At 40.6% G+C, this 14,654-nt stretch overlaps 1 protein-coding gene across 5 annotated transcripts in view; it reads left to right on the top strand.

Moving 5' to 3' along the window:
- ATXN2 (ataxin 2) overlaps positions 1-14,654 on the top strand; it is a 147,460-nt gene that overhangs the window by 88,014 nt on the left and 44,792 nt on the right. For all 5 annotated transcript variants that reach the window (NR_132311.2, NM_001310123.1, NM_001310121.1 and 2 more), the window contains 3 exons: positions 1,078-1,275; positions 1,662-1,769; positions 2,041-2,111. Coding sequence is in view for 4 of the 5 variants with exons in the window: in NM_001310123.1 (NP_001297052.1) it covers positions 1,078-1,275; positions 1,662-1,769; positions 2,041-2,111 (377 nt within the window). In the remaining variant the exon portion in view is untranslated. The remainder of the gene's footprint in view (positions 1-1,077; positions 1,276-1,661; positions 1,770-2,040; positions 2,112-14,654) is intronic.

The following is a 14,654-nucleotide window of genomic DNA, read 5'->3' as shown; positions in this document are numbered from 1 at the left end:
ACGTCGTCTCTACTAAAAATACAAAAATTAGCTGGGCATTGTGGCGCGTTCTTGTAATCCCAGCTGCTCAGGAGGCTGAGGCAGGAGAATTGCTTGAACCAGGACCCGGGAGGTGTAGGTTGCGGTGAGCGGAGATCGCGCCACTGCACTCCAGCCTGGGCTATAGAGTGAGACTCCATTTCAAAAAAAAAAAAAAAAATCTGCTTCAGCTATTCTGTTAATCTTTTGACATTACTTAGATGGTCTGGAAATAAATTTTGAGAATAACATGATTAGAAGTGAGAGAGTATAAGCATAGTTTTGGAGATACACTCAGAATAGCATTATAGATTTTCTCTTTTTACTAATTGGAAAAATGGCAGTTGTTGAATAATAGTTTTCTTCCGTGACCCTTGTGACTTAAAAAAAAAAAAACACTGAAATGAAATAATCGAACCATTTTCTCTAAACCTTTGAATCTGAGCTCTGCAGTTAGGTTTATAATGGTATATGAAACCTATTAGATATATACTTGGAAGTCATATGGGATACAAACCCTGCTTTTATTATCTTCCCCTTTTGACTAACTTGGGTCTCAAGTTTCCTTAATTACTGCACAGTGGACCTTGATGTTGCTATAAAGAATGTGTAGGGCTGGGCATGGTGGCTCATGCCTGTAATCCCAGCACTTTGGGAGGCCAAGGTAGGCAGATCACCTGAGGTCAGGAGTTTGAGACCAGCCTGGCCAGCATGGTGAAACCCCGTCTCTACTAAAAATACAAAAAAATTAGCTGGTTGTGGTGGCGAGTGCCTTTAATCCCAGCTACTCCAGAGGCTGAGGCAGGAGAATCACTTGATACATTTAGTTAGGAGAGAAAATCATACTTATGTTAGTAATTGCTGCTGTTCTTCATATACTTGTGGTTTTGATTGCCAGCAAATTCCTAACATTTTGGAAAAGAAAACAGTAATGGGATAAAGGGTAAGGGCTAGAGAGGACAGTTTTATTTACCTAGATCTTCAGAGAAGCCTGAAGCCTCTTTTAGGAAGTAACATTTGAACTGAGAATGTAATAAATACATTTTCCCTTTCTTCTAGTTCCAAGATTATCCCCTAAAACTCATAGACCCAGGTCTCCCAGACAGAACAGTATTGGAAATACCCCCAGTGGGCCAGTTCTTGCTTCTCCCCAAGCTGGTATTATTCCAACTGAAGCTGTTGCCATGCCTATTCCAGCTGCATCTCCTACGCCTGCTAGTCCTGCATCGAACAGAGCTGTTACCCCTTCTAGTGAGGGTATGTAACAAAGGGCTTCTGGATCCATAATCTCAGCTGTGAAATTGAATGTTAGAGGGTGATATTATATGAAAAAATTCTAGGTTATTTTTATTCATAGACAAGTATTTTTAGTGCACATTTAAAAGTTTATGTAAATTTTGATGTTGTTTAATACTACTAATTTAATATAGTGTCTGTGTTACAAAGGTTAACATTCCTGGGTGTCAAATACCTACATAAATAAAATTATTGGTGTTTCATATGACATCTGCAAAGGAAAAAAAGCCTCTGTTTAAATGAAAGCATTATTTTCCAAAAACATAGGAAATCAAAATTATTGTTCAGTGTTTTCTTGTTTTGCTTTTCTAACTTATCTGAATTTTTTTTAAAAAATTGTTTTCTAGCTAAAGATTCCAGGCTTCAAGATCAGAGGCAGAACTCTCCTGCAGGGAATAAAGAAAATATTAAACCCAATGAAACATCACCTAGCTTCTCAAAAGCTGAAAACAAAGGTTAGAGTTTAAAGAGTCATTAAGCTTAACTGTAGGAATAGGAAGAAGTATGTCTAATTTCATGCCCATACAGAATATTTTTGTTCAACATTTCTTCTTACTATTGTGATAGATAAATGTATTGCTTGACAAATTCCAAAATCCAAATTTAATATTTGAAATTATTTTCTGATCTTATATCTTATTCTAATTTCTATCATCTCATACTAAAAAGAATGTGATGTTAAAGTTTAAAAATAAACCTGTGTCTTAACAGTTCTTAATTTTACAGGTATATCACCAGTTGTTTCTGAACATAGAAAACAGATTGATGATTTAAAGAAATTTAAGAATGATTTTAGGGTAAGTATTGTACTAACTGATGAATTTGAGTTTTAGAAAATAAGCATTACTAAAGATTTATCTATTTATAAAAATGCGTTATGTATACAGTCAGAAACATCAAACCATATATGTAGAAAGCAGAACATTTTTAAAGTGGTCTTTGCCTATCCTTTAAGTGGGATAACTAAAATCATGAGATTTGGTAACAACAATATGTAGGTATCAAATGAGAGTATAGCCCTGACATTTGAAACCACCATAGCACAGCTTACTATTTGATGGTCATTTGTACTTTGTTCAGTGAAGCTAGATATTAGTAGAGCAAGGCCAAGTCATTAATAATCTAGTGTGGCAAATGGAAGATGTACTGGACTCTGGTGTTCTGAGGTAGTTGGAGATTTATACTTTGTACACAAATATATTGTGGTCAAAATCTTTCTGTAACATTATTTCTCTGTCTTAGCACAGGCTTTACTTAACATCTCTCCTTGATTGTCATTTCATTCTTTTGCATGTTATTTACTATAGGTATCGAGGTAGATTTTGAGACCAACCAATAAATCTTCTTGAAACTTAGCTTCTTAGAAAGGAAAATCTAAATACCAGCCTTTTAAAAAAAGTAGCTGAATTAAAGGATGAGTGAACCAAAGGCAAAGGTAGCCTTTCCTCAGCCTGTGTTTTAGCTTTCTAAATGTTAACAATAGCTTCATTCTTGACTTATTGGTAACATTCAAAATACTACTTATTATTTCATACTTTAGCACATGTATCTATTCAGCTTTAATGCTATTAACAGTTGTTAACCTAAGTTTTCATTTGTTGGCGGGCACGGTGGCTCACACCTGTAATCCTAGCACTTTGGGAGGCCGAGGTGGGCAGATCACCTAAGGTCAGGAGTTCGAGACCAGCCTGGTCAACATGGTGAAACCCTGTCTTGACCAAAAATAGAAAAATTAGCTAGGCATGGTGGCGCACACTTGTAATCCCAGCTACTTGGCAGGCTGAGGCAGGATAATCGCTTGAACCCAGGAGACAGAGGTTGCAGTGAGCCGAGATCACACCACTCCACTCCATCCTGGGCGACAGAGCAAGACTGCATCTCAAAAAAAAAAAAAAAAAAAAAAAGTTTTTCAATTTGTTAAACAATAGTTAACACATACAAATGATACAAAGAATATTGAATATGATCATGTGCCCACTACCCAGCTTAGTAAATAAAGCATTCTAACACAGTTAAACTCCTCTTATGTATCTGCCCCTCCTCAGCTGCTTCCCCCTGTTTCCTTCCAAAAGGAAGGGTTTCTTTTCTGTGCAGTTCTTTATATTTATACTGCATATGAATATATCTGTGAGCAATAGATGATATTTTGCATAATCTTAAATTTGCTATAAAGTCTTTTTTTTTTTTTTAATTGATCATTCTTGGGTGTTTCTCGCAGAGGGGGATTTGGCAGGGTCATAGGACAATAGTGGAGGGAAGGTCAGCAGATAAAAAGTGAACAAAGGTCTCTGGTTTTCCTAGGCAGAGGACCCTGCGGCCTTCCGCAGTGTTTGTGTCCCTGGGTACTTGAGATTAGGGAGTGGTGATGACTCTTAACGAGCATGCTGCCTTCAAGCATCTGTTTAACAAAGCACATCTTGCACCGCCCTTAATCCATTTAACCCTGAGTGACACAGCACATGTTTCAGAGAGCACAGGGTTGGGGGTAAGGTCATAGATCAACAGGATCCCAAGGCAGAAGAATCTTTCTTAGTACAGAACAAAATGAAAAGTCTACCATGTCTACTTCTTTCTCCACAGACGCAGCAACCATCCGATTTCTCAATCTTTTCCCCACCTTTCCCCCTTTTCTATTCCACAAAGCCGCCATTGTCATCATGGCCCGTTCTCAATAAGCTGTTGGGTACACCTCCCAGACGGGGTGGTGGCCGGGCAGAGGGGCTCCTCACTTCCCAGAAGGGGCGGCCGGGCAGAGGTGCCCCCCACCTCCCGGACGGGGCGGCTGGCTGGGCGGGGGCTGACCCCCCACCTCCCTCCCGGATGGGGCGGCTGGCCGGGCGGGGGCTGACCCCCACCTCCCTCCCGGACGGGTTGGCTGCCGGGTGGAGATGCTCCTCACTTCCCAGACGGGGTGGCTGCCAGGCGGAGGGGCTTCTCACTTCTCAGACGGGGCGGCTGCCGGGCAGAGGGGCTCCTCACTTCTCAGACGGGGCGGCCAGGCAGAGACGCTCCTCACCTCCCAGACGGGGTCGCGGCCGGGCAGAGGCGCTCCTCACATCCCAGACGGGGCAGCGGGGCAGAGGCGCTCCCCACATCTCAGACGACGGGTGGCCGGGCAGAGACGCTCCTCACTTCCTAGACGGGATGGCGGCCGGGAAGAGGTGCTCCTCACTTCCCAGACTGGGCAGCCGGGCAGAGGGGCTCCTCACATCCCAGACGATGGGTGGCCAGGCAGAGACGCTCCTCACTTCCCAGACGGGGTGGCGGCCGGGCAGAGGCTGCAATCTCGGCACTTTGGGAGGCCAAGGCAGGTGGCTGGGAGGTGGAGGTTGTAGCGAGCCGAGATCACGCCACTGCACTCCAGCCTGGGCACCATTGAGCACTGAGTGAACGAGACTCCGTCTGCAATCCCGGCACCTCGGGAGGCCGAGGCTGGCAGATCACTCGCGGTTAGGAGCTGGAGACCAGCCCGGCCAACACAGCGAAACCCCGTCTCCACCAAAAAAATACGAAAACCAGTCAGGCGTGGCGGCGCGGGCCTGCAATCACAGGCACTAGGCAGGCTGAGGCAGGAGAATCAGGCAGGGAGGTTGCAGTGAGCCGAGATGGCAGCAGTACAGTCTAGCTTCGGCTCGGCATCAGAGGGAGACCGTGGAAAGAGAGGGAGAGGGAGACCGTGGGGAGAAGGAGAAGGAGGGGGAGGGGGAGGGGGGGAGAGGGAGAGGGACAATGATGTCTTGCTGTAGGTATTCTTCCCCATTTGAATTTTTTCCTCAGCATTATTTTTTTTAACATCATTCAGTCTCCTCTTATACTACACTTGGATTGAATTTAATATCTCATGAAGAAAAAACATTTCTACTTTGAAGCATGTGAATTAGCATGTTTTTATAACAGCTTTATTGAGATATAATTTACATATATAAATAAACCGTTTAAAGTGTATAAATCAGTGGTTTTTAATGAGATATAATTTACATATATAAATCAACCATTTAAAGTGTATAAATCAGTGGTTTTTAAAATATTCACAATGTTGTACAACCGTCTTCTCAGTTGATTTTAAAACATACTCTTCACCCCCAAAAGAAACCCCGTGCCCAGTTTAGCAGTCGTTCCACATTTGCCTCCAGCCCTTCTCTTTCCCCTACTCCCAACCCTAAGCAACCGTTAATCTACTTTCTGTCTCTATGGATGGGCTTATTTGGGGCAAATTCCATTTCATACAAATGGAATAATAAAATATGTGGCTTTTATGACTGGCTTCTTTCACTCAGAGTAGTGTTATAAAAGTTCATCCATGTTGGAGCATGTTTCAGTACTTCATTTCTTTTTGTGACTGACTAATATTCCTTGATGTGGATAATACCACATTTTGTTTATCCATTAATCAGTTTGTAGCTATTTGTGGTGTTCTCACTGTTTGACTATTCTGAATAACACTGCCACAAACATGAGTGTGCAGTTTTTTTCTCGTCCTATCTTTTCATTTCTTTTGTGTACCTACCTAGGAGTTGAATTGCTGGGTCATATGGCAACTGTGTTTAACCTTTTGAGGAACTACCAAGCTATTTGCCAAGATATCTACACTATTTTACATTCCCACCAGCAGGGTATGAGGGTTTCTGTTTCTCCACATCCTTGCTAACACTTATTGTCTTGTCTTTTTTGATTATAGTCATCCTTGTGGGTGTGAAGTGTTAACCTCATTGTGGCTTTAATGTGCAGTTCTTTCATGGCTAATGATGTTGAACATCTTTTGTGTTTATTGGCCATTTATATATCTTCTTTGGATTGATGTCTGTTCAAATCTTTACCCATTTTAAAAATTGAGTTGTCTTTTTATTATTGGGTTGTGGGAGTTCTTTATATATTGTGTGTACAAGTCCCTGTTAGATACATGGTTTGCAAATGTTTTCTCCTGTTCTGTTGGTTGTCTTTTTACTTTTTCATCCCTTGAAGCACAAAAATTTTTAATTTTGATGAAGTCCAATTTATCTGATTTTGAAGTAAGCTTTTGGTGTCGTATCTAAGAAAATACTGTTTCATCAATCATTAAGGTTTATTACTCTTCTGGGTTTTTTTAAGAATTACATTTAGAGGTGTGATCCATTTGGAGCAACTTTTTTTTTCTTTTGACACAGAATCTCGCTCTTTTGCTTAGGCTGGAGGGCAGTGGTGCAATCTTGGCTCACAGCAGCCTCAGCCTCCTGGGCTCAAATGAGTAGCTGGTACTACAGGTGTGCACCACCACACCTTGCTATTAATAACTTTTGTATTTTTTTGTAGAGACAGAATTTCGCCATGTTGCCCAGGCTGGTCTCAAACACTTGGACTCAAGTGACACGCCCACCTCAGCCTCCCAAAGTGAAAAATTGCTTTCACCTTGCACTGCGGACTCGCCCTGAATTCTTTCTTGTGCAAGATCCAAGAGCCCTCTCTGGGGGTCTGGATCGGGACCCCTTTCCTATAACAATATTATGAGAATAACATTTGATTTTTTTTAAGTGAAACAAATTGTTATTAAAAAATTAAAAAAGGTCATAGGAGAGTGACTTGGTGCTCAGCCCATTTTGAGCAGTTATTTAATATAGCATAAGGTGGGGTTCAAATTCATTCTTTATATTAATTTTTTATTTCTAATTGACACATAACCATACACTTATAACCATTTTTACTGTGTAAGTTCAGATTCATTCTTCCGTATGTAGGTATTAGTTGTCCCAGCACCATCTGTTAAAAAGACTATTCTTGGCCAGGCACAGTGGCTCTCAACGCCTGTAATCCCAGCACTTTGGGAGTCCCAAGCAGGCAGATCACATGAGGTCAGGAGTTCGAAACCAGTCTGACCAAATGGTGAAACCGCATGTCTACTAAAAATACAAAAATTACCTGGGTGTGGTGGCGCACACCTGTAGTCTAGTCCCACTACTGTAGTGGCTGAGGCAGGAGATTCGCTTGAACCCAGGAGGTAGAGGTTGCAGTGAGCTGAGATCATGCACTCCAGTGTGGGCGACAGAGTGAGACTCCATCTCAAAAAAAAGACTATTCTTTCCTCCATTGAATTATCTTCACATGCTTGTTGGAAGTCTGTTGACTACAAATGTGAAAGTTTATTACTGGACTCTGAATTGTCCTCCACTGAATCTCTATGTCTTATCCTTATGGCAGTACCATACTGTCTTGATTAGAGTTACTGTATTTTAAAAGGCTGTACTTTTTCAGTTAGCAGAAAACATTTTAGCTATCAGCACAACTTTCTGTAAACCTTCATTAATGCTTGACTTAAATTCCAAGAAGGAGCAACATAAAAAGTCTTATCTCTTTAGGAGTTTTAGTCTTACTACTTTTAGGTGCCTGAATAACCAAATGTATTATTTAGCCTCTTACTAATAACTCCTTGATCCATAGGGGCATACCAGGAAGAAAAGAAGTGGTTTTTAAAAAATGAGAGTGGGCCGGGCACGGTGGCTGATACCTATAATCCTAACACTTTGGGAGGCTGAGGCGGGTGGATCACTTGAGGTCAGGAGTTTGAGACCAGCCTGGATAACATGGCGAAACCCTATCTTTATTAAAAATATATAAATTAGCCGGGCATGGTGGCACATGCCTGTAATCCCAGCTACTCAGGAGGCTGAGGCAGGAGAATCACTTGAATCCAGGAGGTGGAGGTTGCAGTGATCCGAGATTGCATCAGTGGGCGACAGAGCGAGAATCTGTCTCAAAGAAAAAAAAAGAGAGTGGAAAAAAAAAATATGTGTCCCAGAACTTAAATTTTAATTAAAAAAAAATAAAAGAGTGAACTTTCTAATTGTTCTCTTCAGATAATATAATGTTATTCTCTTATGTTTTATTGCGTATTTCCTGTGTACCAGATGCTGTTCTTCATGCTTGTATGTTAAATCTTGTCTAACATCTCTGTCAAGCAAGTTCTGTTTGTATCTGCACTGTGTATATTAGGCAGCTTGGGCAAAGAGAAGTTAAGTAATCTGCCCAAACTCACATGGCTAGTAAGTAAGAGGGCTGACCATCTGGTGTTTAAGCTTCTAGCAGTGCTTTGAATAGTAACTAATGCATAGTGCATGCTGCACTGTCAGTCAGTGATTCATTAGAGCTAACTTCATGACATGCTCATAGCCCCAAACTGCATTTGTTCACAAATATCTGTAGTCCTTCATTTAGGCAGAAATAGAAATACCTTGTGTGTTTGTTGTTCCTTCCCTTTTGAGCCATATGCAGAGTGCTGATAGCTTTATTTGTGTAAGAATTGCTAGTAATTTGATCTGTTTTGGGTTAATAATGTGGGTTTTAGAGGTAAATGGACCTAGGTTTGAATGTTGGCCTCTATACATCATGTGCGTAACATTGTGGCATGCTATCTACTTCCCCCAAGCCAAAATGGGTTAATTTTAGAACCTGCTTCATAGTGTTCCTGTGAGAGCTCGATGAGATATTGCCTATAAAGTGTTTAGCATAGTGCCTAGCACATGGTATGTATTCAATACATGTTCATTCTTACTAGCAAAATATAGATGACCCAGTATTGTACAGAGTATGTACAATGGTGTCATTGTACCATTTCATGTGGAGTCACATAAGAATTTCAGTTTTCTGCTGGGCATGATGGCTCACTCCTGTAATCCCAGCACTTTGGGAGGCTGAGGTGGATGGATCAGCTGAGGTCAGGAGTTCCAGACCAGCCTGGCCGACATGATGAAACCCCATCTCTACTAAAAATACAAAAAATTAGCCAGGCGTGGTGGCAGGTGCCTGTAATCCCAGCTACTCGCAAGACTGAGGCAGGAGAAATGCTTGAACCCGGGAGGCGGTGGTTGCCATGAGTTAAGATCGTGCCGCTGCACTCCAGCCTGGGCAATAAGAGCGAAACTCCGTCTCCAAAAAAAAGAAAAAAAAAGAACTTAAGTTTTCCATTAGATTTAGTATAGTGCAGAGAGGAAATACAGCAGAGTGCTATATTCCATATATAGCAATATAGCATTAGAACAATATATTCCAATACAGCAGAGTGCTATATTCAGATACCAACTAGTGGACTTGCTATTTGTAAGATGGCAATAATAGTATCTACATCAAATAGGGCTGTTGTGAAGACTAAATGAATAAGTCTATAAATAGTTTAGAACAGTGTCTGGACAGGTACAGTGGCTCATGCCTGAATCTTAGCACTTTGGGAGGCTGAGACAGGTGGATAGCTTGAGCTCAGGCATTAAAGACCAACCTGGGTAACATGGTAAAACCCTGTTTCTACAAAAAAATACACACATTAGCCAGGTGTGGTGGCACATGCTAATAGTACCAGCTACTCAGGAGGCTGAGGTGGGAGAATCACTTGAGCCTGGGAGATGGAGGTTGCAGTGAGGTGAGCTTGCACCACTGCGCTCCAGTCTGGGCAACGGAGTCAGACCCTGTTTGGAAAAAAAAAAAAAAGTGTCCAACCCATAGTAAGAAATGCAGATGTGTTTGACATTGTAAGAAAAAGCAACACCAAAAGTCTGATTTTTGCCTTCACTCAAGAACTCTTATGATAATTAAACTCCGAAGTCCTTGGCAATATATATAGTTGGTCTGTTATGTGGATCGCCTCTACTAAAGATTTTTGTGAACAAATGAAAGTTTAAGTAGTAAGTTCCTACATCGTGACTTAAATTGCCAGTGTGCCCACATAAATACCCTGTCAACATTTGCCCTTAGCCACTTGACTCTTTAGCTATATTGGTAATGCAGTAAAGCTTGCGATGCGCCAGAGTTGCATAATGCTGTTTGCCATGACACCAAGAGCCTTGGTAATGAAACCATTGAAATTGGTTTGCCTATACTGAGGCTGAAGAGGTATCTTGGCTCTCTAATTTTAAGGCAACCTTTTTGGCTGTGTAGGTTTCTCTTTAGCTTGTTTCTCACCACCTGGGGCTGTGGCTTAGGTCCGTTGTCCTAACCTGTGGCTTAGGTTCTGTTTTTGTTGCTTGTACTTGCTCCCCCTTTTTTCAGCCATTCCTGTTTTCTTTCTTTTGTAGAGGATGCCATCTTAAATCATCTTCAGCCAGTGGTAGCATTTTATTTTTTCTGGTCTGCAAACTTAAAAACCTCATCACTTATTTTGCTAATATCTTTGTCTTCTGTTCTTTTTGATGGTCCTTGGTTTTGCAGTCTACTTTAAAGGTTTTTATTTTTTTATGGGTACATAGTAGACGTATTATTCATAGGGTCTGTGAGATATTTAGATAAAGGCATATAATGTGTAATAATCACATTAGGGTAAATGGGGTATCCATCACCATCATCATTCATCATTTCTTTGTGTAATGAACGTTGCAATTGTACTCCCTCAGTTATTCTAAAAAGTACAACAAATTAATGCTGACTGTAGTCACCCTGCTTTGTTGTCAAATACTAGATCTTATTCATTCTTTATTTAACTTTTTAAATTTTAAACTTATTTTATTTATTTATTTTTAGACGGAGTCTCACTCTGTCGCCAGGCTGGAGTGCGGTGGCGCAGTCTCAACTCACTGCAACCTCCGCCTCCAGGGTTCAAGTGATTCTCCTGCCTCAGCCTCCTGACTAGCTGGAACTACAGGCACGTGCCACCACGCCCAGCTAATTTTTGTATTTTTAGTAGAGACGGGGTTTCACTATGTTGGCTGGGATGGTCTTGATCTCTTGACCTTGTGATCCGGCTGCCACAGCCTCCCAAAGTGCTGGGGTTGCAGGCGTGAGCCACCGTGCCCGGCCTTTAAAATTATTTTAAATCATTTTAATATCTTTTTCATTTCTGCCTCCGGTCCTGCAGAGTTCTTATTCGTTCTTTCTAAATTTTCTTTGCACCCACTAATCACCTCATTTCCCTTCTTCTCCCCATTACCCTTCCCAACTTCTGGTAACCATTCTGCTATCTCCATGTGTTCAATTGTTTTTATTTTTAGTGCCTGCAAACGAGTAAGAATATGCAAAGTTTATCTTTCTGTCCCTGGCTTATTTTACTTAACATAATGTCCTCCAGTGCCATCTACATTGCTGCAAATGACAGGATCTCATTCTTTTTTATGGCTGAATGGTAATCTATTGTGTATATATACCACATTTTCTTTCTCCATTTGTCTGTCAGTGGACACGTAGGTTGATTCCAAATCTTGGCTGTTGTGTATATAGTGCCGTAGTAAACATGGGAGTGCAGATATTCCTTCAATAAACTGATTTCCTTTCTGAGTATATACCTAGCAGTGCAATTGCTGGATCATATGGTAGCTCTATTTTTAGTTTTTTGAGGAATTTCCATACTGTTCTCCATAGTGGTTTTACCAATTTACATGTCCACCAACAGTGTGTGAAGGTTCCCCTTTATCCACATCGTTACCAGCATTTGTTATTGCCTGTCTTTTGGATAAAAGCCATTTTAACTGGGGTGAGATGATATCTTGTTGTAGTTTTAATTTCCATTTTTCTGGTGATCAGTAGTATTGAATACCTTTCATATACCTGTTTGCCATTCATAAATAACGATGAGGTCTTGCTGTTTGGCCCAGGCTGGTCTCGAACTCCTGGGCTCAAGCAATCCTCCCACCTTGGCTTCCCAAAATGCTGAAATTATAGTTGTGAGCCACTGCACCTGGCCTTGTATGTCTTCCTTTTTTTTTTGTTTTGTTTTGTTTTTGAGACAGAGTCTCACTTTGTTGCCCAGGCTGGAGCGTAGTGGTGTGATCTTGGCTCACTGCGCCCTACACCTCCCGGATTCAAGCAATTCTCCTGCCTCCTGCCACCATGTCTGCCTAATTTTTGTATTTTTAGTAGAGACGGGATTTCTCCTTGTTGCCCAGGCTGGTCTTGAACTCCTAACCTCAGGTGATTTACCTGCCTCAGCCTCCCAAAGTGCTAGGATTACAGGCGTGAGCTGCTGCGCCCAGCCTGTATGTCGTCTTTTGAGAAATGTCTATTCAGATCTTTTGCCCATTTTTAATTGAGTTACTAAAATTTTCCCTATGGAGTTGCTTGAGTGCCTTTTATATTCTGGTTATTGATCCCTTGTCAGATGAGTAGTTTGCAAATATTTTCTCCCATTCTGTGGGCTGTCTCTTCACTTTGTTGATGGTTTCCTTTGCTGTGCAGAAGCTTTTTAACTTGATGTGATCCCATTTGTCCATCTTTGCTTTGGTTGCCTGTACTTTTGGGGTATTACTCAAGAAATCTTTGCCCAGAGTAATGTCCCTGGGAGTTTAATGTTTTCTTTTAGTAGTTTCATAGTTTGAGGTCTTAGATTTAAATCTTTAGTCCATTTTGATTTGATTTTTTTTTAATATGGTGGGACACAGGGGTCTGGTTTCATTCTTCTGCATATGGATATCCAGTTTTCCCAGCACCATTTATTGAAGAGACTGTCCTTTCCCCAGTGTATGTTCATGGCTTCTTTGTGGAAAATGAGTTCACTTAGACGTATGGATTCATTTCTGAGTTCTCTGTTCTGTTTCATTGATCTATATCTTTTTTTATGCCAGTACCATGCCATTTTGGTTACAATAATTTGAAGTCAGATAATGATTCCTCCCGTTTTGTTCATTTTGCTCAGTATGGCTTTTGCTCTTTTGGGCCTTTTGTGGTTCCCTACAAATTTTAGAATTATTTTTGTCTACTTCTGTGAGGAATGTCATTGGTATTTTGATAGGGATTGCACTGAATCTGTAGATTGCTTTGAGTATTATCAACATTTTAGCAATATTAATTCTTCTAATCCATAAACATGGAATCTCTTTTCATGTTTTTTCTGTGTCATCAATTTCAGTGTTTTAAAGTTGTCATTATAGAAATCTTTTACTCATTTGGTTAAGTTTATTCCTAAGTATTTTATTATATTTGTAGCTATTGTAAATGGGATTGCGTTTAAAAAATTTTTCAGATTGTTTGCTGTTAAATATAAAAATGCTCCTGATTTTTGTGTGTTGATTTTTGTATCCTGCAATTTTACTGAATTTGTTTGTCAGTTCTAATAGGTTTTTCTTTTTTGGAGTCTAGGTTTTTCCAAATGTAAGATCATATTATCTGCAAACAAGGATAATTTGACTTCTTCCATTCCAGTGTGGATGCTTTTTATTTCTTTCTGTTGTCTGATTGCTCCAATTAGGACTTCCGAGTATTATGTTGAATAACAATGGTGAAAGTGGGCATCCTTGTCTTGTTCCAGATCTTAGAGGAAAGCCTTTCAGTTTTTCCCTTTTCAGTATGGTACTAGTTATGGGTCTGTCATATATGGCTTCTGTTTTGTTGAGGTATATTCCTTCTATACCCAGTTCTTTGGGGTTTTTTTGTTTGTTTGTTTTTGAGATGGAGTCTCACTCTGTCACCCAGGCTGGAGTGCAGTGGCGCAATGTTGGCTCACTGCAAGCTCCACCTCCTGGGTTCATGCCGTTCTCCTGCCTCAGCCTCCCGAGTAGCTGGGACTACAGGTGTCCGCTAACACGCCCGGCTAATTTTTTGTATTTTTAGTAGAGACGGGGTTTCACCGTGTTAGCCAGGATGGTCTCGAACTCCTGACCTCATGATCTGCCCGTCTCAGCCTCCCAAAGTGCTGGGATTACAGGCGTGAGCCACCACGCCCGGCCAAGGGTTTTAATCATAAGGGGATGTGGCATTTTATGTGATATAAATTATATATTTATATCATGTGATATATATTTATATCATACACAGTATAAATAATATATATATATATTTTTTAGTCTTTGTCTTTTATTCTGTTAAGATGTACCATGTTTATTGATTTGCGTATGTCGAACCATCCTTGCATCCCTGGGATGAATCCCACTTAGTCATGATGAATGATCTTTTTAATGTGTTACTGAATTCGGTTTGCTAGTATTATATTGAGGATTTTTGCATAATGTTCTTCAGAGACACTGGCTTCTAGTTTTCCCTTTTTGATGTGTCCTTTGGTTTTGTATAGGGTAATAGTGGCCTTGTAGAATGAGTTTAGAAGTATTCCCTCTTCCTGTATTGTGTTGGAATAGTTTGAGTAGGATTGGTATTAGTTCTTCTTTAAAGGTTTAGTAGAATTCAGCAGTGAAGCCATCAGGTCCATGGCTTTTCTTTGCTGGGAGACTATTTCTTATAGCTTTGATCTCGTTACTTGTTATTGGTCTCGTTACTTGTTATTGTATTTGGGTTTTGGATTTCTTTGTGGTTCAGTCTTGGTAGGTTGTATGTGTCTAGGAATTTATCCATTTCTTCAAGGTTTTCCAATGTATCAGCATATAGATGCTCATAGTAGTCTCTAATGATCCTTTGAATTTCGGTGGTAACAATTATAATGTCTCCTTTTTCATCTCTCATTT

The sequence above is a fragment of the Homo sapiens genome, chromosome 12 (genome assembly GCF_000001405.40).
Source record: "Homo sapiens chromosome 12, GRCh38.p14 Primary Assembly".
In the NCBI taxonomy this organism is placed as follows: Eukaryota; Metazoa; Chordata; class Mammalia; order Primates; family Hominidae; genus Homo; species Homo sapiens.
This window is presented reverse-complemented; position numbering and strand designations above follow the sequence as displayed.